The sequence below is a fragment of the Homo sapiens genome, chromosome 16 (genome assembly GCF_000001405.40).
Source record: "Homo sapiens chromosome 16, GRCh38.p14 Primary Assembly".
NCBI lineage: Eukaryota > Metazoa > Chordata > Mammalia > Primates > Hominidae > Homo > Homo sapiens.
Genome location: NC_000016.10, coordinates 2297118 through 2320949, shown reverse-complemented (window position 1 = coordinate 2320949; position 23832 = coordinate 2297118). Strand labels below are relative to the sequence as shown.

General features: G+C 51.8%; 1 protein-coding gene across 1 annotated transcript in view; it reads left to right on the top strand.

The window, feature by feature from the left end:
• The window catches only part of ABCA3 (ATP binding cassette subfamily A member 3), a 64848-nt gene that overhangs the window by 19779 nt on the left and 21237 nt on the right, over nucleotides 1–23832 (top strand). The window contains exons 8-17 of the mRNA NM_001089.3: nucleotides 1110–1369; nucleotides 3186–3302; nucleotides 3547–3667; nucleotides 12327–12500; nucleotides 16800–16981; nucleotides 20802–20945; nucleotides 21418–21547; nucleotides 22410–22564; nucleotides 23029–23184; nucleotides 23411–23621. Of these exons, the coding sequence (NP_001080.2) occupies nucleotides 1110–1369; nucleotides 3186–3302; nucleotides 3547–3667; nucleotides 12327–12500; nucleotides 16800–16981; nucleotides 20802–20945; nucleotides 21418–21547; nucleotides 22410–22564; nucleotides 23029–23184; nucleotides 23411–23621 (1650 nt within the window). The remainder of the gene's footprint in view (nucleotides 1–1109; nucleotides 1370–3185; nucleotides 3303–3546; nucleotides 3668–12326; nucleotides 12501–16799; nucleotides 16982–20801; nucleotides 20946–21417; nucleotides 21548–22409; nucleotides 22565–23028; nucleotides 23185–23410; nucleotides 23622–23832) is intronic.

Here is a 23832-nt window from a genome sequence, read left to right as displayed (position 1 = left end):
GACACAGAGTAAATATCTTTTGTTAGAGAAAAAAAGTTTTGTTATTAAGAATAGTCGGTTAGTCCTCAGCAAGACAGAGAACCTGAGGGGGAAGAAAAGTTGGCTGGAAAAACAAGCTCCTAGTAAAGCCCCAGGAGATATAACGTGTGTGAGACTGGCATGGCACAGGGACTGGTCAATTCTAGCCTCAGTTTTGCCTCCAGATGTCCATGCCTTAGACCCACTAATATGCCTGATGAGAATTCAGCCCTCAGGCTGGGCGCAGTGGCTCACACCTGTCATCCCAGCATTGGGAGGCTGAGGCAGGCAGATCACCTGAGGTCAGGAGTTCGGGACCAGCCTGGCCAACATAGTGAAACCCCGTCTCTACTAAAAATACAAAAAAAAAAAAAATTAGCTGGGCGTGGTGGTGTGCACCTGTAATCCCAGCTATTCGGGAGGCTGAGGCAGGAGAATTGCTTGAACCCAGGAGGCAGACGTTGCAGTGAGCCGAGATCGCGCCACTGCACTCCAGCCTGAGTGAGAGAGCAAGACTGTCTCAAAAAAAAAAAAGGCCGGGTGCAGTGGCTCACGCCTGTAATCCCAGCACTTTGGGAGGCCAAGGTGGGTGGATCATGAGGTCAGGAGATCCAGACCATCCTGGCTAACACGGTGAAACCCCGTCTCTACTAAAAATACAAAAAATTAGCTGGGCATGGTGGTGTGCACCTGTAGTCCCAGCTACTCGGGAGGCTGAGGCAGGAGAATCGCTTGAACCTGGGAGGTGGAGGTTGCAGTGAGCCAAGATCGCGCCACTGCACTCCAGCCTGGGCGACAGAGTGAGATTCCGTCTCAAAAAAAAAAAAAGTGATCATGTGTGTGATTTTTTTTGTGTGTTGTGTTAGTTACAAAGTGGAAGTGACAATCACATCTCTCTTCTCATTTGCTGTCAGTGTGTGGTGCGTTTCCTTCCTTCTCCCGTGGGACCACTGAGCGGCCACGGGGGTCCTGAGCTGAAGTCACTCTGTTGCCCCAAGCATCTCTTCCCCCATGGACCCCATGCACGTGGCCCTCTGCCCTCGAGAGCAGCTCCTCGAGGTGGCTGGGCCATCCTCTGCTCCCGCACCCAGGGTACATCCGGGAAGGCTTCCTGGCCGTGCAGCATGCTGTGGACCGGGCCATCATGGAGTACCATGCCGATGCCGCCACACGCCAGCTGTTCCAGAGACTGACGGTGACCATCAAGAGGTTCCCGTACCCGCCGTTCATCGCAGACCCCTTCCTCGTGGCCATCCAGTACCAGCTGCCCCTGCTGCTGCTGCTCAGCTTCACCTACACCGCGCTCACCATTGCCCGTGCTGTCGTGCAGGAGAAGGAAAGGAGGCTGAAGGTGACTGCCCGCTTTGGCTCCCCAACACTCTAGAAACCGCGCTGTCCTGGGGAGGCCATGTCCAAAGGCTTGGTGTTTTAGTATTTTTTTTTTTTTGAGTTGGAGTCTCGCTCTGTCGCCCAGGCTGGAGTGCAGTGGTGCGATCTCGGCTCACTGCAAGCTCTGCCTCCCGGGTTCACGCCATTCTCCTGCCTCAGCCTCCCGAGTAGTTGGGACTATAGGTGCCTGCCACCACACCCAGCTAATTTTTTGTATTTTTAGTAGAGACGTGGTTTCACCGTGTTAGCCAGGATGGTCTCAATCTCCTGACCTTGTGATCCGCCCGCCTCGGCCTCCAGAAGTGCTGGGATTACAGGCGTGAGCCACCGTGCCCGGCCGGAGGTCTTTCTATATTGCCAAGGCTGGTCTCAAACTCTTGGCCTCAAGAAATTCTCCCATCTCAGCCTCCCATCTCATTCTCCCACAGTGCTGGGATTACAGGCATGAGCTGTAACACCTGGCTAGGGGCTCATTTTGAGGCTGCCCAGTTGTTCATCTGCTTGGTGCCATAAATAACTTTCATAAAACTATGCAGCATTGAGGGAGTCAGCAGTGGGCTATAAAATGATCCTGAAAAAAAAAAAAGTGTGCACATATGCAGATACACAGATCAAACAAATAGGGCAAAACGTGAAACGGTTACTGAACCTAAGTGGTGGGAATGTGAGAGACCATTGTGCTCCTCTTCCCGCTGTTCTGTAGGTCAGAAATTATGCATAAGAAAGGGCTAGCCCTGGGCACTGGCTCACACCTGTAATCCCAGCACCTTGGGAGGTCGAGGTGGGCGGATCACTTGAGGTGAGGAGTTCAAGACCAGCCTGGACAGCAAGGTGAAACCGTGTCTCTACTAAAAATACAAAAATTAGCCAGGCGTGGTAGCATGCACCTGTAATCCCAGCTGCTTGGGAGGCTGAGGCACGAGAATTTCTTGAACCCGGGAGGTGGAGGTTGCAGTGAGCCAAGATCGCACCACTGCACTCCAGCCTGGGCAGCAGAGCAAGACTCCATCTAAAAAAAAAAAAGAAAAAGAGAAAAAGAAAGAAAAAGAAATGAGGAGCTGAATTTTTAACTTTATTTTTAATTAACTTCAGTTGAAACGGCCACACCTGGCTGCTGGCTGCCGTATTGGTCAGTGTGGCCGCCCCAGGACTCCCCAGGCGCTTTTGGTCAGTGAAGGAACTGGGTTTCCTCATCACCACGCCTGACTCCTTGGTGGGGCAGGTGAGGAAGGAAGGTGTGGTCAGAGCCGACCCATCACTGCGCCTCGTCCTTCACTGCAGAGGTTCTGGGCCCCTCCTTTCAGAGTAGGGGAGGTTGAGGGAATGAATGGCTATGGCATCCACAGCTATGGTCTGATCTGTGGTCACGTCTCACAGCCATGGAGGCTGGTGTTGACGTGGTTGGGAACTGGCAGGGTCTTTCGGCCCACCCCCAGAAGGGCTGGGCTCCTGCCGCCTGACGTAGCTTCGGGGGACGATCTCAAGTACCAGGAAAGACTGGGGAGCATGCACTGGGAGTGTGGAATCGCTCTACAGAATGGAGGGCTGGCCGGGTGCAGTGGCTTATGCCTATAATTCCAGCACTTTGGGAGGCTGAGGCAGGCAGATCACTTGAGCCCAGGAGTTTGAGCAAGATGAGCCTGGCCGACATAGTAAGACCCTGTCGAATGCAGGGCTGCTGGGACAGTCGGACTCAGGCCTGCTGCCGTCCAGCCTGGCACATGCCATCATGGCGGGCAGTGACGGGCCCCCAGCAGCGTGATGGCTTCTCTCCCCAGGAGTACATGCGCATGATGGGGCTCAGCAGCTGGCTGCACTGGAGTGCCTGGTTCCTCTTGTTCTTCCTCTTCCTCCTCATCGCCGCCTCCTTCATGACCCTGCTCTTCTGTGTCAAGGTGAGCATGGCGTCGGTGGGGCTCTGGTGAGGACGGGGAGAGCCAGGGCACCCCAGGAGGGCCCTCTTGGGAAGAACTTTGTGGTCAGAGACTTCAGAGAGAGTCTGTCCCTCATGGGGGAGAGGAGCTGTCAATGTCCCACTCCTCTCGGTGGAGCCGCGTCCCTGTGACCAGGGATGGTCAGGAGTCCTCCTGGTCCACCTCTGCCGGCCCACCACGCCCGACTCATGCCTGTGCCCTGCAGGTGAAGCCAAATGTAGCCGTGCTGTCCCGCAGCGACCCCTCCCTGGTGCTCGCCTTCCTGCTGTGCTTCGCCATCTCTACCATCTCCTTCAGCTTCATGGTCAGCACCTTCTTCAGCAAAGGTGAGCCCCAGTCATGGGGCAGAGTGGGGTTGCCAAGGGGCCAAGGGCCATCTGCATGGAAATAACCCAGAGGCTGTGATCGGAAGGGAGAGTGGCCTGGTGGAGCTGCCCAGGGAGGAGCTGACCAGGGGAAGGTTGGACTGGAAGGAGGAAAGTCAGCGTAATTTAGGGAGAAGGAGAATTCAGAGAAGGCAGGTGTGTGGCTGGCCATGCCGAGTGCTGTCCAGCAGCCCAAAGGGAAGGCGAGCCAGAAGTGAGGACAGTGAGCCCGGCCATGTGCAGAGCCTTGCGGTGACAGTTACGTTGAAGATCATTTTTCCTGTCTGGATTTTGTGTGTCACTTTGTTATCATTCTCTTTTGCTTCTTTGTTTTCCTTTCCTGCCTTCTGTTGGCCTTCTGTAGTGCCTTTTACCTCGGATGGTTCAGAGGCTATAAGTTGTGTTTCTCTTTTTTTAGTGATTACCTTTAATGTTTCACTTGATTACTTACCTCTAAAATTCCAAAAAGTGAAGTTATTCAGTATGCCCAGGCTCCTCCCAGGTAAAACTCCAACCTCACCACCACTCTAAGTACTTTTAGAGGTTCCCAGTTTTTTGTTTTTTTTTTCGAGCAGTCTTGCTCTGTTGCTCAGTCTGGAGTGCATTAGTGCGATCTTGGCTCACTGCAGTCTCTGCCTCTGGGATTCAAGTGATTCTTGTGCCTCAGCCTCTTGAGTAGCTGGGATTACAGGCGTGTGCCACCACGCCTGGCTAATTTTTTTTTTTTTTTTTTTTTTTTTTTTTTTTTTTTTTGCATTTTTAGTAGAGACGGGGTTTTGCCATGTTGTCCAGGCTGGTCTTGAAATCCTGACCTCAAGCGATCCATACTCCTTGGCTTCCCAAAGTGCTGGGATTACAGGTGTGAGCCACTGCGCTTGGCCTTTTTTTTTTTTTCTTTTCTTTTTTTCTTTTCTTTTTTCTTTTTTTTTTTTTTTGAGACTGCCTCTTGTTCTGTTGCCCAGGCTGGAGTGCAATGGCACAGACACGGCTCACTGCAGCCTTGAACTGCTGGGCTCAAAGCTATCTTCCAGCCTCAGCCTTCTGAGTAGCTCACACCACCGTTACCTGCCACCACACCTAGCTTTTTTTTTTTTTTTTTTTTTCTCACCATGTTTCCCAGACTGGTCTTGAACTCCTGATCTCAAGTGATCCTCCTACCTCAGCCTCCCAAAGCATTGGGATTACAGGTGTGAGCCACCATGCCTGACCTCCTAACTTTTGTTGTTGTCTAGTTTGTTTTATTATTAAAGAAAACCTAAGTGACCAGGCATGGTAGCTCACACCTGTAATCCTAGCACTTTAGGAGGTCAAGGCAGGAGGATCACTTGAGCCCAGGAGTTTAAGACCAGCCTAGGCAACATGGCAAGACCCTGTCTCTACAAAAAAAAAAAAAAAAAAAAAAAAGTTTAAAAATTAGCCAGGTGTGGTGGCATGCCCCTGTGGTCCTAGCTACTTGGGAGGCTGAGGTGGGAGCATTGCTTAAGCCCAGGTGGCGGATGTTGCAGTGAGCTGAGTTTGTACCACTGCATTCCAGCCTGGAGAACGAGAGGGACCCTGTCTCAAAAAAAGAAAAAAAATCATAAGCAGTTACTTCCTATGTGACATTCCTGTGCTTTGCCAACATATCTGATGTGCACGTGATTTTCGTGTACCTGGCTTTTTAGAGTCACTCTTCTCTGTGTTGAAGCACATCTTTGAGTAGTTCTTCTAGTGGGCATTGGTAAGTGGTCAGTGCTTTCGACTTTGTATGTCCAAAGGTGTCTGTATTTTGCCCTCACTCCTGTATAGTATTTTAGCTGCCTGTGAAATTCTCCACAGATAGGTGTTCTTCCTTGGCAATTTTATAATGTTACCTTATTGCCATCCGATACTCATCGTTAGTGGGAGTCTGCCAAAAGTCTAGGTGTGATTTTTCTTTATGAACATTTCGATCTGAGGGCTCATGTGTCTTCGGTTCGAATTTCAATGAGATTTCGGGTAATATCTCATCAGACTTTGCTGTGTGTGTGTGTGTGTGTGTGTGTGTGTGTGTGTGTGTGTAAAATACATACAACAATTTATGACCGGGCACCATGGCTCACGCCTGTAATCCCAGCAATTTGGGAGGCCGAGGCGGGTGGATCATGAGGTCAGGAGATTGAGACCATCCTGGCCAACACAGTGAAACCTCGTCTCTACTAAAAAAAAAAAATACAAAAATTAGCCGGGTGTGGTGGCGGGTACCTGTAGTCCCAGCTACTCGGGAGGCTGAGGCAGGAGCATCGCTTGAACCCAGGAGGCGGAGGTTGCAGTGAGCCGAGGTTGTGCCAGTGCACTCCAGCCTGGCAACAGAGCAAGACTCTGTCTCAAAAAAAAAAAAAAAAAAAAAAAAGACCAGGCACTATGGCTCATGCCTGTAATCCCACTTTGGGAGGCCAAGGCTGGCAGATCATCTGAGGTCGGGAGTTCGAAACCAGCCTGACTAACATGGAGAAACCCTGTCTCTACTAAAAATACAAAATTAGCCAGGTGTGGTGGCACATGCCTGTAATCCCAGCTTCTTGGGAGGTTGAGGCAGGAGAATTGCTTGAACCCAGGAGGCAGAGGTTGCGGTGAGCCGTGATCATGCCACTGCACTCCAGCCTGGGCAACAAGAGTGAAACTTGGTCTCAAAAAAAAAAAAATTACCATTGTGGCCGCTTTAAGCATTCACATCGTTGTGCACCCACCCCCATGTCCACCTCCAGAATGGTTTTCATGTTTCCCGACTGAAACAGTCCCTGTGAAACACTGACTCCCCCACCCCCCTTCCCTGGAAACCAGCACCCTACTTCCTGTCCCTATGAGTTTGATGACCCTGGGGACTTCATGTAAGAGGAATCGTACAGTGTTTATATGCTGTGCCTGGCTTATTTCACTGAGCATAGCATCCCCAAGGTTCATCTGTGTTGTAGCCTGAATTCCCCTCCTTTTCAAGGCTAGATGATATTCCATAATGTAGATGGGGCCACATTTTGTTTACTTGTTCATCCATTGACAGACTCTTGGATGCCCCTGTGTTGTGGCTGTCATGAGTGTGCTGTGCTGGACATGGGTCCCTGCTTTTCATTCTTTGGGCGTACACCCAGAAGTGAAGTTGCTGAATCCTATGGCAATTCCATGTTTAACTTTTGAGAGAGACTGTCAGACTGTCTTTCCCGCAGTGTCTGCACCGGTGCGCATTCCCACCAGCAGCACACAGGTTGCCAGTCTCCTGCATCCTCGTGAACACCTGTTGTTTTCTGATTGATTGTTTTTTATAGTCGCCATCCTAATGGGTGTGAGGGGGTATCTCTCAGTCTTTCACGTCTGTTAATTACTTTTTTTTTTTTTTGAGATGGAATCTCGCTCTGTTGCCCAGGCTAAGTGTAGTGGCACAATTGGCTCACTGCAACCTCCGCCTTCTGGGTTCAAGTGATTCTCCTGCCTCAGCCTCCCAAGTAGCTGGGATTACAGGCGCCCGCCACCATACCCAGCTATTTTTGTAGAAACCGTGTTTTGCCATGTTGTCCAGGCTGGTCTCAAACTCCTGACCTCAAGTGATCCTCCCACCTCCGTCTCCCAGAGTGCTGGGATTACAGGCATGAGCCACCACGCCTGGCCTCTTAATTTCTTTTTTTTTTTAAACTATACTTTTACAACCCCCTTTCTTCTTTTTTTTTTTTTTTTTTTTGTGACAGAGTCTCACTCTGTTGCCTAGGCTGGAGTGTAGTGGCACAATCTTGGCTCACTGCAAACTCTGCTGCCTGGGTTCAAGCAATTCTCCTGCCTCAGCCTCTGAGTAGCTGGCACTACAGGTGCAAGCCAGCATGCCCAGCTAATTTTGTATTTTTAGTAGAAACGGGGTTTCACCATGTTGGCCAGGCTGGTCTTGAACTCCTGACCTCAGGTGATCCACCAGCCTCAGCCTCCCAAAGTGCTGGGATTATAGGCGTGAGCTACCACACCTGGCCCCAGATGGTCTTATAGTGACACCCAGATGCTGCTTGCCTTTTCCACCATGCTGACATTTGTAGTGACGGTGCAAAAACAATGATGAGCAAAACCACCAGACCCTAAGCATAAATCAAGACACCAAGCCATACTTATCACTGTGTTCTCCACTGCCACATACTCACAGCAAGCAAACAAACAAACAATGCCAGCTTATTTTTTAAATTTTTTTTGTTTTGAGACATGGTCTCGTTCTGTTGCCCAGGCTGGAGTGCAGTGGCCTGATCTCGACTCACTGCAACCTCTGTCTCCCAGGGCTCGAGTGATCCTTCCACTTCAGCCTCCCTCCCAAGCAGCTGGGGCCACAGGTGTACAACACCATGCCCAGCTAATTTTTGTAGTTTTTGTAGAGTTAGGGTTTCACCATGTTGCTCAGGCTGAAAAAAAAAAAATGCAATTTCGGCCGGGCATGGTGGCTCATGCCTGTAATCCTAGCACTTTGGGAGGCCGAGGCGGGCAGATCACCTGAGGTCAGGAGTTCGAGACCAGCCTGGCCAACATGGTGAAACCCCGTCTCTACTAAAAATACAAAAAAAATTTGCTGGGCGTGGTCGTGGGCACTTGTAATCCCAGCTACTCGGGAGGCTGAGGCAGGAGAATCACTTGAACCCGGGAGGCGGAGGTTGCAGTGGGCTGAGACTGTGCCATTGCACTCCAGCCTGGGCAACAAGAGTGAAACTTCATCTCAAAAAAAAAAAAAAGAAAAATGCCAATTTCACTCATGAATGTCCTTGACAAAGCAGTAAAAAAAAAAACTTTATTAAATCTCGACTCTCAAATATACTTCATTTAGTATTCTGTGTGACGAAATGGGATGTACACATAAAGTACTTGTACTGAACCATGGATTATCTTGAGGAAAAGTACATGTACAGTTGCTTGAGTTGTCAGCAAAACTAGCCACTTTTTCCATGGGGCACCATTTTTGCTTGAAGGAGCAACCACTAGACTATAGTTATTCCCCCTCGGGTGTTTGGTAGGCATTTTCTCCAGTAGGAGCCTGTCTTTTTAAGGAAAACAACTGGTAGTTTCTGACATCAATACTGCAGTTCAAGCTTTCAGGCAAAAAATAGAATTTTGCAAACTCAAATCTGTGACTTCCTAGTACTTAACTTTTTATGGAGCCAGTGATAACATTAACAAATGTAATTTTTTTAATATTGTATGATAAAATATGCCAGTGTTTGGAACATTTGTGTAACTCAAAAAGCAGTATTTTCCAAACGAACTAATGCATCATGTTATAAAATCATACAAGAGTAAAAATCCAAAGTGTGGCCAGGCGCAGTGGCTCATGCCTGTAATCCCAGCATTTTGGGAGACTGAGGCGGGCGGATTGCCTGAACTCAGGAGTTCAAGACCAGCCTGGACAACATGGTGAAACCCTGTCTCTACTAAAAATACAAAAAATTAGGCCGGGCACAGTGGCTCACACCTGTAATCCCAGCACTTTGGGAGGCCGAGGTGGGTGGATCACGAGGTCAGGAGTTCAAGAGCAGCCTGGCCAAGATGGTGAAACCCCGTCTCTATTAAAAATACAAAAATTAGTCGGGCATGGTGGCGGATGCCTGTAATCCCATCTACTCAGGAGGCTGAGGCAGGGAATTGCTTGAACCTGGGAGTCGGAGGTTGCATTGAGCCAAGATCGTGCCACTGCACTCCAGCCTGGGCGACAGAGCGAGACTCTCTCTCCAAAAATTAAAAAAAAAATCCAAACTGCAGGATAAACCAATGGATGTTAATGTAACAGAGCGCAAAAAGTTCGTTGGTTACTTCATGGCAACTAACCTTTCCGAAATTACTGCTTGTTCAGTGGCGCTTGCATGGTATAGTATCAAAGAAGAATATCCACAGATATCTGTAAAAACCATTACAATACCCTTTACTTTTCCAACTATATATCTGTGGGAAGGCAGATTTTCTTTATATACATCAACCAAACAACATAAAAGGGTAAATAGGGCTGGGCGCGGTGGCTCACGCCTGTAATTCCAGCACTTTGGGAGGCCGAGGCAGGCGGATCACGAGGTCAAGAGATCGAGACCACCCTGGCCAACATGGTGAAACCCCGTCTCTACTAAAAATACAAAAATTAGCTGGGTGTGGTGGCGCTCGCCTGTAGTCCCAGTGACTCGGGAGGCTGAGGCAGGAGAATTGCTTGAACCCAGGAGGTAGACGTTTCAGTGAGCCAAGGTCGTGCCACTGCACTCCAGCCTGGTGACAGAGCGAGACTCCATCTCAAAAAAGAAAAAAAAAGAAAAGAAAAGAAAGAAAAGAGTAAATAGGCAGATATGAGGACCGAGCTGTAATCTGCTAAGTCAGACATTATGGAGGTTTACAAAAATGCGAAACATCGTTCCTGACTGAAGCACCAGAGGTGGGGAAAAAGACCAATAAAGAAAAAGAAAAAATCAGCCGGTCAAGTGACTCACATCTCTAATCCCAGCACTTTGGGAGGCCAAGGTGGGCAGATTGCTTGTGCCCAGGAGTTCAAGCCCAGCCTGGGCAACATGACGAAAACCTGTCTTTACTTAAAAATAAAAAAAACATTAGCCTGGCCCGGTGGTGCATACCTGTAGTCCGAGCTACTCAGGAGGCTGAGGTGGGAGAATCGCTTGAGCCCAGGAGGCAGAGGTTGCAGTGAGCTGAAATCACACCACTGCACTCCATCCTGGGCGATAGTATGAGACCCTGTCTCAGAAAAAAAAAAAAAGAAAGAAAAAAAAGTTGGAAAAACCACTGCTGCTCTTCTCAGTAAATTGTGGAAAGTGTGTGTGTGTGGGTGTTTTGTTTGTTTGTTTGTTTTTTTGTTTGTTTGTTTGTTTTGAGACAGAGTCTCACTCTGTCGCTAGGATGGAGTGCAGTGACCCGATCTCGGCTCACTGCAACCTCCACCTCCCGGGTTCAAGCGATGCTCCTGCCTCAGCCTCCTGAGTAGCTGCGACTACAGGCGCACACCACCACCCATGCCCAGCTAATTTTTGTATTTTTAGTAGAGACGGGGTTTCACCATGTTGGCCATGATGGTCTTGATCTCTTGACCTTGTGATCTGCCCACCTCAGCCTCCCAAAGTGCTGGGATTACAGGCATGAGCCACCACACCCAGCCGGGGTTTTTTTCATAAATGTATGTTGACTTGTAGTGGATTTGTTACTGTTATTCTTAAATTTAACAGAATTTTTAAATGTTCTTAGTATTAATTTCTCACAGAATAAATATGGATATATATATATAACCCACATTTAAAAAGCCCTTTGGTGTCGTTAATAATTTTTAAGGATAGAAAAGGGTCTTAAGACCAAAGATTTTGATGGCTGGGCACGGTGGCTCAGACCTGTAATCCCAACACTTTGGGAGGCCAGGGCGGGAGGATCCCTTGAGCCTAGGAGCTTTAGACTAGCCCTGACAAAATAGGGAAACCCATCTCTACAAAAACATTTAAAAATTAGCTAGGCATGGTACTGCGTGCCTGTGGTCCTAGCTGCTCTCCCTAGCCGGAGGTGGGAGGACTTCTTGGGCCCGGGAGGTGGAGGCTGCAGTGAGCCATGATGGCACCACTGTACTCCAGCCTAGGTGACAGAGGGGGACTCGATCTCAAAAGGAAACAAAGAAAAGAAAACCAAACAGTTTGAGCACTGCTGGCATGGACAGAAAACATGCCCATCTCTCCACTCTCCGTAATCCACTCTCTCACCTCTTCCGGCTCCTTCTCACATGTCACCTCCTCGAAGCCTTCCCGGCCGTCGGGAGCCTCTTCTCCCATCCTGCGCCTCCTTGCTGCATCCAGCATGTGTCTCCATCCAGCACACCTTGCTCTCTGTCTCCCCGCTATATTCCAGGCGTGGGAGGGGAGGGATTTTCTCTGTTTTGTGTGGGGCTGCCTCCCGGTGCTTAGAACAGAGTAGGTGCTCAGTGCGTATCTGACGAATGCATGAATGAACAAATGAGAGAGATCAGGCAACCCAGGCAGAAGTGGGGCTTAGGCAGGCTGGGCACGGTGGCTCACGCCTGTAATCCCAGCACTTTGGAAGGCCAAGGCCGGTGGATCACGAGGTCAGGAGATCGAGACCATCCTGGCTAACACGGTGAAACCCTATCTCTACTAAAAAATACAAAAAATTAGCCGGGCGTGGTGGCGGGCACCTGTAGTCCCAGCTACTCAGGAGGCTGAGGTAGGAGAATGGCGTGAACCCAGGAGGCGGAGCTTGCAGTGAGCCGAGATCGTGCCACTGCACTCCAGCCTGGGCGACAGAGCAAGACTCCTTCTCAAAAAAAAAAGAAGTGGGGCTTAGGCGGGAATCAGGGGTTTGGGATCAGCCACGTGAGGTGTGCAGTGTCAGGGAGGCAGCTGGATGGGAGGTGGAGGAGGGGCTGGAGGTGTTGGTGTGGGGGTCCCTGGGATGGGGGCACTACTCACTTGGAGAAGGGGCTGCCGGCCACACCTGGTGTCCCCCCGTGCTGGAGCTTGTGTCCCGTGTAGATGGCAAGTGCCAGGAGCAGGTTGGGTGGCTCGGCCCCAGGAGTAGGGGGTTGCCTGTACCTCGGGGAGCCCAAGCCCCTTTTGAGGGCACTGACGCTCACGCCCCCCGGGTCTTCCAACACCTGCAGCCAACATGGCAGCAGCCTTCGGAGGCTTCCTCTACTTCTTCACCTACATCCCCTACTTCTTCGTGGCCCCTCGGTACAACTGGATGACTCTGAGCCAGAAGCTCTGCTCCTGCCTCCTGTCTAATGTCGCCATGGCAATGGGAGCCCAGCTCATTGGGAAATTTGAGGCGAAAGGTGAGTGTTTGCCTTGTCCAGCCTGTTCTTTCCGAATCAGTAACCTTCGAGAGCACCCAACCACAAGAGCCGCCAGCAGCAAGGCTCCACCTGGGACGGTTGGCAGGCAGTTGGGACCACTGAAGGCAGCAGCATCCGCATACAGCGCTGAGTGTGGGCTGGATAGCTGGACACGGCCCCGGGCGAGGGAAGCCCAGCTCCACGGCACAGCAGGAGGTGATGGGAGCCACAGGGCAGTGGGCCGAAGAAGCCCAAAGCTCGGAGGACAAGAGGGTTGGAGCATCCAGCAGCGTTGGCACCACATACGCATCTGACTGATGGTGGGATCTAAGTCGGTGACCTGAGCCTCTTTCAGTTTTCATTTTTTTTTATTTTAAATATTTTATAGAGATGGGGTCTCACTGTGTTGCCCAGCCTGGTCTCAAACTTTCGACCTCAAGCAATCCTCCTGCCTCAGCCTCCTGAATAGCCAGGATTACAGGCGTGAGCCACCACATCTGGCCTCTTCCAGCTTCCTGAGACATTCAAAATTATTACATCAGAAAGGCTGGGCGTGGTGGCTCACGCCTATAATCCCAGCACTTTGGGAGGCTGAGGCCGGTGGATCACGAGGTCAGGAGATCGAGACCATCCTGGCTAACAAGGTGAAACCCTGTCTCTACTAAAAACACAAAAAATTAGCCGGGCGTGGTGGCAGGCGCCTGTAGTCCCAGCTACTCGAGAGGCTGAGGCAGGAGAATGGCGTGAACCCAGGAGGCGGAGCTTGCAGTGAGCTGAGATCGCACCACTGCACTCCAGCCTGGGTGACAAGACTCCGTCTCAAAAAAATAAAATAAAATTATTACATCAGAGATCTCAAAGTCTAGGGTTTTGAGGACTTTTTTTCTTTTTTTTTGAGACAAGAGTCTCGTTCTGTTTCCCAGGTTTGAGTGCAGTGGTGCGATCTTGGCTCATCTCAACCTCTGCCTCTGGGTTCAAGTGATCCTCCCACCTCAGCCTCCCGAGTACCTGGGATCACAGGCATGCACCACCATGCCCATCTAATTTTTTTGTATTTTTAGTAGAGAGGGGGTTTTGCCATGTTGGCCAGGCTGGTCTTGAACTCCTGACCTAAAGTGATCTGCCCTCGGCCTCCGAAAGTGCTAGGATTACAGGAGTGAGCCACTGAGGCTGGCTGGGTTTCGAGGACTTTTCATCAACCACTGCTCTTGGTAAAGGGTAGAATTAGCATCTTCCCAGTGCCTCCTGTATTGATTGGTGATGGCAGCAGAGACGCCTAAGAGAGAAACAAGTGATAAACGACAGCATTTTTTTTCTTTTCTTTTTTGTTTTTTGAGACAGGGTCTCGCTGTGTCACCCAGCCTGGAGTGCAATGGCATCATCACGACTCACTTTTTTTCTTTTCTTTTCTTTTTTTTTTTTTTTTTTTTTTTGAGACGGAGTCTCTCACTCTTTCACCCAGGCTGGAGGGCAGTGGCGCAATCTCGGCTCACTGCAAGCTCCGCCTCCCGGGTTCATGCCATTTTCCTGCCTCAGCCTCCCAAGTAGCTGGGACTACAGGCGCCCGCCACCGTGCCCAGCTAATTTTTTGTATTTTTAGTAGAGACGGGGTTTCACTGTGTTAGCCAGGATGGTCTCGATCTTCTGACCTTGTGATCCGCCCGCCTCGGCCTCCCAAAGTGCTGGGATTACAGGCGTGAGCCGCCCACTTTTTTTCTTAATTTTTATGAAATTAAATTGAGTAAAACACTTCCTTGGTCGGCCTTTGGCCTGTGGGCTCTCATTCTGCAAAGCCTGCTGTGGGCACCAAACCTGGTCTGAGCCCCTCCAGTTAGGCCTCCTCCCAACATTGCTGCATTGGGGGTCAAGTCTCCAACACATGAATTTGGGGGGCCCAGTCAAGCCATGGCACCATGCAGTTCCTAGCTGCAGCTTGCCAAGGTCTGGGTCTGTGGAAGGAGGTGGGAGTGTCCAGCGTTGCTTTGTCTTTCATTAGAACGGTTCTCTACAGTCGGCAGTGTCTTCTGACACTTTAGCTTTTACATATCTGTGTTTCCATGTTTACTCGTGTGTTGATAAAATGTAAACTTTGTTCTTTTGCTTTCTTTTTAACAATTTTTTTTTGGAGATAGGGTCTTACTCCATTGCCCAGGCTGGAGTGCAGTAGCATGATAATAGCTCACTGTAGCCTCGACCTCCCAGGCTCAAGTGATCCTCCCACCTCAGCCTCCTGAGTAGCTGGACTACAGGCACGTGCCACCACACCTGGCTAATTTGTCTGTGTTGCCTAGGCTGGTCTCAAACTCCTGGCCTCAAGCAATCCTCCTGTGTCAGCCTCCCAAAGTGCTGGGATTACAGATGTGAGCCACCACGCCCAGCTAGAGTGAATGTTATTAAAACAGACAAATCTCTGGTTGTTTGAAAGTGCAAATTCACCAAGGCTGGAGAGCATTATTTCCATCAGGGTCCTCGGCCAAACAGAGGGTGTTTGGACACACAGATCCCCAGCACTGTCAGGACTGCAATGTTGGCAAACCAGAGAGATGATGAGAAACACGAGCTCCATTAAAGAGAGCTTTACACGTGTTTGAAATATTTCTGTGATTAAAAAAGACTTATGGCCGAGGCAGGAGGAAGGCTTGAGGCTGGAGTTTGAGACCAGCCTGGGCAACATAGCAAGACCCCCATCACTACAAAATTAAAATGTAAAAAAATAGTTATACTAGGCTGGATGGGGTGGCTCACACCTGTAATCCCAGCACTTTGGGAGGACGGGTGGATTACTCGAGGTCAGGAGTTCAAGACCCACCTGGCCAACATGGCGAAACCCTGTCTCTACTAAAAATACAAAAATTGGCGGGGCGCGGTGGCTCACGCCTGTAATCTCAGCACTTTGGGAGGCTGAGGTGGGCGGGTCATGGGGTCAAGAGATCGAGACCATCCTGGCCAACATGGTGAAACTCCGTCTCTACTAAAAATACAAAAATCAGCTGGGCATGGTGGCGCACACCTGTAGTCCCAGCTACTCGGGAGGCTGAGGCAGGAGAACCGCTTGAACCTGGGAGGTGGAGGCTGCAGCGAGCCAAGATTGTGCCCCTGCACTCCAGCCTGGCAACAGAGTGAGACTCTGTCTAAAAAAAATACAAAAATTAGCCAGGTGTGGTGACGTGCTCCCGTAATCCCAGCTACTCCGAAGGCTGAGGCAGAAGAATCATTCAAACCCCAGAGGCAGAGGTTGCAGTGGGCCAAGATTGCACCACTGCACTCCAGCCTGGGTGACAGAGCAAGACTCTATCTCAAAAAAATAAAAAATAATAAACAAATAAAGACTTATACTGGCCGGGTGCAGTGGCTCACACCTGTAATCCTAGCACTTTGGGAGGCCAAGGCGGGTAGGTTGCCCGAGCTCAGGAGTTCGAGACCAGGCTGGGCAACACGGTGAAACCCCATCTCTACTAAAATACAAAAAAATTAGGGCTGGTTGCAGTGGCTCACGCCTGTAATCCCAGCGCTTTGGGAGGCCGAGGCAGGCGAATCACAAGGTCAGGAGATCGAGACCACCCTGGCTAACACAGTGAAACCCCGTCTCTACTAAAAATACAAAAAATTAGCCAGGCACGGTGGCGGGCGCCTGTAGTCCCAGCTACTCAGGAGGCTGAGGCAGGAGAATGGCGTGAACCCGGGAGGTGGAGCTTGCAGTGAGCCGAGATCGTGCCACTGCACTCCAGCCTGGGAGACAGAGCAAGACTCCATCTCAAAAAAAAAAAAAAAAAATTTAGCCCAGGCATGGCAGCATGCGCCTGTAATCCCAACTACTTGGAAGGCTGAGACAGGAGAATTGCTTGAACCTGGGAGGCAGAGGTTGCAGTGAGCCGAGATCGCAGCACTGCACTCCTGCCTGGGCGACAGAGCAAGACTCCATCTCAAAAAAAAAAAAAAAAAAAAAAAAGACTTATGCTAAATGCACATTGACCCACGTTGGCCTTACCGAAATCATAGATGTGGGTGCATATGTACGTGTGTACATATGTGCATATATGTCACAGATTAAATGCAAGCCTGTCTAGTCAGTGAATGAGCTGTTGCTGGTCTGTGACTTAATTATTTTGTAACCTGAGTTTATCTTCCAGGCTTGAAGAAAGCTGTCCAACTTGTTATAAAACCGGGAAGGGAAAAGGCATGCCAACCAAGCAGTGGCCATGCAAGGTCAAATGTGCACACGTGTGCCATCAGGGGCTTCGGGTCCCTGGGCCCCCCAGCCTGCTGGCTTTCGGGCCACTTTCCTGATGTGTCTTCCAGGCATGGGCATCCAGTGGCGAGACCTCCTGAGTCCCGTCAACGTGGACGACGACTTCTGCTTCGGGCAGGTGCTGGGGATGCTGCTGCTGGACTCTGTGCTCTATGGCCTGGTGACCTGGTACATGGAGGCCGTCTTCCCAGGGCAGTTCGGCGTGCCTCAGCCCTGGTACTTCTTCATCATGGTGAGTTCTGATGCCCTGCTCTTGAGCCGCCGCCTCTCTGAGTGCAGAGGTGTCCCCAGTACCTGCTCAGGGACCCCTCTGAGTCCCCAGCATGCAGCACCTGCGTGGGGCTGGCACACAGAACCCTGCCCTGTGCACAGGGAGTGGCGTGTCCCCCGAGGGCCCTTGGGACTGGTTCAGAGAGAGAAAGACCCTCCATGCCCAAGAGTAATCCTTCCGCTTCAGAGCCTGAGACAGAGGGGTGCAGAGAACCGGCTGCTCTGGCCCCTCTCTGCAAGACCCACGCACGCAGCCTCTGCTGCCCACCTCCCTCCTCAATCCTGCCTCCTTTCTTGTGAAAAGTATCTTATTGGGTTTTCTACCTACAAAATCTAGCTTCTTATAAAAATGTTCACATTCGGCCAGGCGTGGTGGCTCACGCCTGTAATCCCAGCTCTTTGGGAGGCCAAGGTGGGTGGATCACGAGGTCAGGAGATCAAGACCATCCTGGCTAACAAGGTGAAATCCCATCTCCACTAAAAATAAAAAATAAAAAAAAAACTAGCCGGGTGTGATGGCGGGTGCCTGTAGTCCCAGCTACTCGGGAGGCTGAGGCAGGAGAATGGCATGAACCTGGGAGGCGGAGCTTGCAGTGAGCCAAGATCGCGCCATTGCACTCCAGCCTGGCAACACAGCGAGAGTCTGTCTCAAAAAAAAAAAAAAAAGAGAGAAAAAAAGTTCGGATTCCTGAAATCTATAGCTCATTCCCACTGGTGAGATGAACACTGTTGACATTTGGTATGTACTTTGCTGGGTTTCCCTCTCTACACTTACTGTCATAGAGCACAGATGGATGGACATATAGCATAGTTTCATAAAAATGTGATTGGAGGCCGGGTGTGGTGGCTCACCCCTGTAATCCCAGCACTTTGGGAGGCCAAGATGGGTGGATCACCTGAGGTCAGAAGTTTGAGACCAGCCTGGCCAGCATGGTGAAACCCTGTTTCTACTAAAGAAATACAAAAAAAAAAAATTAGCTGGGTGTGGTGGCAGGCGCCTCTAATCCCAGCTACTTGGGAGGCTGAGGCAGGGAGAACTGCTTGAACCCGGAAGGCGGAGGTTGCAGTGAGCTGAGACTGTGCCATTGCACTCCAACCTGGGCGACAGAGCGAGACTCCATCTCAAAAAAAAAAAAAATGGGATCGGGGTGGACATAGTCGCTCATCCCTGTAATCCCAGCACTTTGGGAGGCTGAGGTGGAAGGATGACTTGAGGCCAGGAGTTAGAGACCAGCCTGGGCAACATAGTGCAACCCCATCTCTACAAAATAAATAAAAAATTTAAAAAATTAGCCAGGCGGCACATGCCTGTGGTCCCAGCTACTTGAGAGGCTGAGGCAGAAGAATCACTTGAGCCCAGGAGGCTGCAGTGAGCCATGTTCACACCACCACACTCCAACTTTGGTGAAAAAATGAGACCCTGTCTCAAAAAAAAAAAAAAGAATCATATTGTAAAAAATGCTTACAAGTTGCTTTTCTTAACCTAACAGTACAACTCAGATATCTTAAATACATATATATGTTTGTCTATTTATAAATATAGTTTTAAACTATTATCTAAACATATTGATGAATGTTGTTATATTTATAAATATATTTCTACCTAAGTATTACCTTTTTAAGAATCACTGCCGAGACCAGCTCGGTCGGGGAGACCTTAACCCAGCGGCACTAGAGGAATTAAAGACACACACGCAGAAATATAGAGGTGCGAAGTGGGAAATCAGGGGTCTCACAGCCTTCAGAGCTGAGAGCCCCGAACAGAGATTTACCCACATATTTATTAACAGCAAACCAGTCATTAGCATTGTTTCTATAGATATTCCATTAACTAAAAGTATCCCTTAAGGGAAATGGATGGATGGGCCGAATTACTTGCAGCAGGAACACGCCCTTAAGACACAGATCTCTCAGGCTTTTGTTTGCGGCTTAAGAATGCCTTTAAGCGGTTTTCCGCCCTGGGCGGGCCAGGTGTTCCTTGCCCACAACCTTCCAGCTTGGGTGTTATGGCCATTATGGACGTGTTACATTGCTGCAGAGATTTTATTTATGGCCAGTTTTGGGGCCAGTTTATGGCCAGACTTTGGGGGGCTTGCTCCCAACAAACCACCTTCATTTATAGTGACACACAGTGTTCCATTCTGTGGGCCCATCAACATATACTTAACTGATTCCCTACCGATGGCTAGTTAAGGTCATTTCTTTTTTTTTTTTTTTCTTTGATTCGGAGTCTAGCTCTGTTGCCCAGGCTGGAGTCCAGTGGCGCGATCTCAGCTCACTGCACCCTTCACCTCCCAGGTTCAAGTGATTCTCCTGCCTCAGCCTCCTGAGTAGCTGGGATTACAGGCACCCACCACTACACGCACCTAATTTTTTTTGTATTTTTATTAGAGACGGGGTTTCGCCATGTTGGCCAGGCTGGTCTTGAACTCCTGACCTCAGGTGATCCACCCGCCTCGGCCTCCCAAAGTGCTGGGATGACAGGCGTGAGCCACCACCTCCAGCCGAGGCCATTTCTGTTTTCATTCTTTGCTTCCACAAGTAGTTATCAAGTGTTCACTACTGTAATCCATCAACTGTAAGATGACACTGACCGTTAGAGGTAATGGTTACTTTGTCTATCACTAAGAAAGAAAAATGCCACACTTACACTATGGCATTTTATAGTTTAAGATGCATTCTGATTTTTTTTTTTTTTTTGAGACGGAGTCTCGCTCTGTCGCCCAGGCTGGAGTACAGTGGTGCCATCTCGGCTCACTGCAAGCTCCGCCTCCCGGGTTCACGCCATTCTCCTGCCTCAGCCTCCCGAGTAGCTGGGACTATAGGCGCCCACCACCACGCCCGGCTAATTTTTTTGTATTTTTAGTAGAGACGGGGTTTCACCGTGTTAGCCAGGATGGTCTCGATCTCCTGACCTCATGATCCGCCCGCCTCGGCCTCCCAAAGTGCTGGGATTACAGGCTCGAGCCACCGTGCCCAGCCAAGATGCATTCTGATTTTAAAATCACTTTACATATGAGAGCTGTGTCCCTGAGAACCAGTGGAGTGCAGTGTGTGCCAGATGCCGTTCCAGGTGCTGGAAGTGCACTGGGCGTGGAGCTGCGGGTAAACGAGTCCCCGCCCCGCAGCTGCCCTGGCACTGATCCTGCCAAGGCACTGCTTCCACCTTCCCTGCTGCTCTGCCCGCACCACTGTGTCGACTGCCTCCATGTAGGCACCAGGCTGTCCTCGAGGGCACTGTGTGAGGTGTGTGCCTGTGTTCTTACCCCATGCACTGAGTTATTTCTGTGATGGCCACAGAGAAGATGGGAAGAGGCTTCCTCATAGTAGAGGGAGGCGTGGCGCCTTCGGCTTCTCTTGCTTACAGTCATGAACTCATGTGGGGCTTGAGCAAAGAAACAGCCGGGTGGCATGGGGACACAGCTTTCTTTCCATTTTGGCTCCAACATCCCTCTGGACTGGAGCGTTAGATAACTTCTGTCTATGAAATTTCATAGCTGACAAACTCCCTTTGCCCTGTATCGGATCTGAGTTCATCTTCACAAGCCTGTATGTAACCATTACACCCACTTACCAGGTTAGGAAACTGAGGCTTAGAGCCTTCACAGGGATGAAACAAGTTGGGACTCTCTGGGGCTCTCCCTGAGTAGCGCCTTCTCCACAGCAGTGCCTCGAAGTCCTGGGACAGAGGCTGCATGGCTGTGTGCATCTAGTGTGTCTGCTGGTTGTTGCTTTGCTCGTCACAAACAAAACAAACTGACAGCTGTCTGCTTCCCTCCCAGCCCTCCTATTGGTGTGGGAAGCCAAGGGCGGTTGCAGGGAAGGAGGAAGAAGACAGTGACCCCGAGAAAGCACTCAGAAACGAGTACTTTGAAGCCGAGCCAGAGGACCTGGTGGCGGGGATCAAGATCAAGCACCTGTCCAAGGTGCCGCCTCCTGTGGGGACAGGGAGGGCCGGGGCTGCCAGGACCATGGGAAGACTTACCAGCACGGCAGTGAGACCTCATAGCCCGTCAGGCGCTCCCTCTGAGCCTTGCTCCCTCCTGCCCTGAAGGAGGGCAGGAACCCTCCGCTGCCCTCTAACCGGTTCCCCAGGGCACAGACCACATCTCCAGCTTCTCAGGAAATGCCAGACTCAGCCGTCCAGCAGTGCCTCGGCCTCATGGGCCTCCCAGGGTTGCAGAGACACTGAGGGTGTCTGGGACGTGTTGGGGCTGGGGGAGACCGGAGGGGAGCAGCCAGGAGCAGCATCTGCCCGAAACGTCCCTCCCCTCTGCACACTGATGGTGACGCTAGGCTTGGTTCCTTCTGAGACGGTCGGGCAGGGGAGCAGGAGAGGCCTTGGCCGTGGGCCTCGGGGCTGTGGGTAGCCCAGGGCAGCCTCTGCCTTTCCTGCAGGTGTTCAGGGTGGGAAATAAGGACAGGGCGGCCGTCAGAGACCTGAACCTCAACCTGTACGAGGGACAGATCACCGTCCTGCTGGGCCACAACGGTGCCGGGAAGACCACCACCCTCTCCATGCTCACAGGTGAGGGCCAGGCGCCTCACGCCCCTGCCACCAGCAGGCCCCCCTTTAACACCATCTCAGCGCCAGCCCCGCCTCACTCCCTCAATGGGGCTTTCGGGCCTTCCCCAACCACAGCGGCAGGAGATGCACCTCAGCCCTGCAGGCCCAGGGGCACAAGCAGGGACTGCCCTCCTCACCGCCTCTGTCCGGGACATGCCGGGGGACCCCCAGGGACCCCTGCCCTCCTCACCGCCTCTGTCCGTGAATGCAGGGGGACCCCCAGGGACCCCTGCCCTCCTCACCGCCTCTGTCCGTGAATGCAGGGGGACCCCCAGGGACCCCTGCCCTCCTCACCGCCTCTGTCCATGAATGCAGGGGGACCCCCAGGGACCCCTGCCCTCCTCACCGCCTCTGTCTGTGAATACCCAAGCTTGACAGGGTCAGTGAAAACAGAGGCCACCACGCAGGAGCAGCTCAACCCCATGCTAATTCTGTCACCAAACCCCTCTCTGAGAGCTCTCCCCTGTGCACCACACCGGCCACTGGCATTTCACTCTGTCTTCCCCAAGCACCAAAGTGTCTGGCAGTGGCACAGGCTGGGACCCGGGGCGGGGGCTGATTGTGGTGACTCTGTGTGTGTGTGTCGTGGGTTTCTCCTCCCTGACCAGCTGTGCGTCCCAGTGGCAGGGCTGTTTCCATGCCGCTTCTTTTTCCCACTGGCCCAGCCAAAGCCCACCCCAGTGGGAGTGGGGTTCCGTGCCCTCTCATGGGCAGGGTCCTCAGAGGAAATTAGGGGAGACAGAGAGGGGGTGGGGGGTCATTACCGCGGGTGCTGACGAGCAGGATCTTCATGCTGAATGTGGGGTCTCCTGCTGGGCCCCAGGTCTCTTTCCCCCCACCAGTGGACGGGCATACATCAGCGGGTATGAAATTTCCCAGGACATGGTTCAGATCCGGAAGAGCCTGGGCCTGTGCCCGCAGCACGACATCCTGTTTGACAACTTGACAGTCGCAGAGCACCTTTATTTCTACGCCCAGGTGAGTTGGGGGCCAGGGGTGTGCAGGGGTGTTTCCACTGATGTGCTCGAGTTTCTGGGGCAGTCTTCCGAGGAGCTAAACTGGAGGAAGGGAGCCAGGAGGGCAGGAGCCAGGGTTCTGAGTCCAGCTACGTCAAGGAGAGGTTCCTCTCACCAGAACCTCGCTGGCCAGGGTCGGCCTCCCGCCAGGAGCCCTGCATCTCCCCAGCTACGTCAAGGAGAGGTTCCTCTTACCAGAAACTCGCTGGCCGTGGTCGGCCTCCCGCCAGGAGCCCTGCATCTCCCCAGCTACGTCAAGGAGAGGTTCCTCTCACCAGAACCTTGCTGGCCGTGGTCGGCCTCCCGCCAGGAGCCCTGCATCTCCCCAGCTACGTCAAGGAGAGGTTCCTCTCACCAGAACCTCGCTGGCCAGGGTCGGCCTCCCGCCAGGAGCCCTGCATCTCCCTGCGTCCCCTGTCGTTGCAGCTGAAGGGCCTGTCACGTCAGAAGTGCCCTGAAGAAGTCAAGCAGATGCTGCACATCATCGGCCTGGAGGACAAGTGGAACTCACGGAGCCGCTTCCTGAGCGGGGGCATGAGGCGCAAGCTCTCCATCGGCATCGCCCTCATCGCAGGCTCCAAGGTGTGGCGGTGGGACTGGAGGCAGTGGGTTCCCCTCCTGCTCGACCTGGGATGGCCCTTCCGCCATGGCCCGGGCACCTTGGCCCTTGACACCCCAGACAAGGCCATCACCATCCTTGGAGGACTCAAGCCGGCTCCGCGAACCCCTCGATGGGGCCTACCGCAAGGCCAGCCTGGGCCCGGGGTGTGGCTCTACCAGCGTCGCGAGACTGTGTCTCTCCCTCCAGGTGCTGATACTGGACGAGCCCACCTCGGGCATGGACGCCATCTCCAGGAGGGCCATCTGGGATCTTCTTCAGCGGCAGAAAAGTGACCGCACCATCGTGCTGACCACCCACTTCATGGACGAGGCTGACCTGCTGGGAGACCGCATCGCCATCATGGCCAAGGGGGAGCTGCAGTGCTGCGGGTCCTCGCTGTTCCTCAAGCAGAAATACGGTGAGCGGTGGGGCCAGCCCGCGACAGGGTCGGTGTCCTGGCTGCCGTGCTGAGGGAATGGCTGCTACCTTCATGAAGGGCCCTCAGATCAGGCAGGGGTGGCCTTTTCTAGACTTCCTGTCTGTTGCCTCTGGGTGGAGAGCCCAACCAGGCAGGGGGGCTTGTGAGAGGGAAGAGGCAGGAAATGGAGCTGAAAGTCTCAATTTGGTTA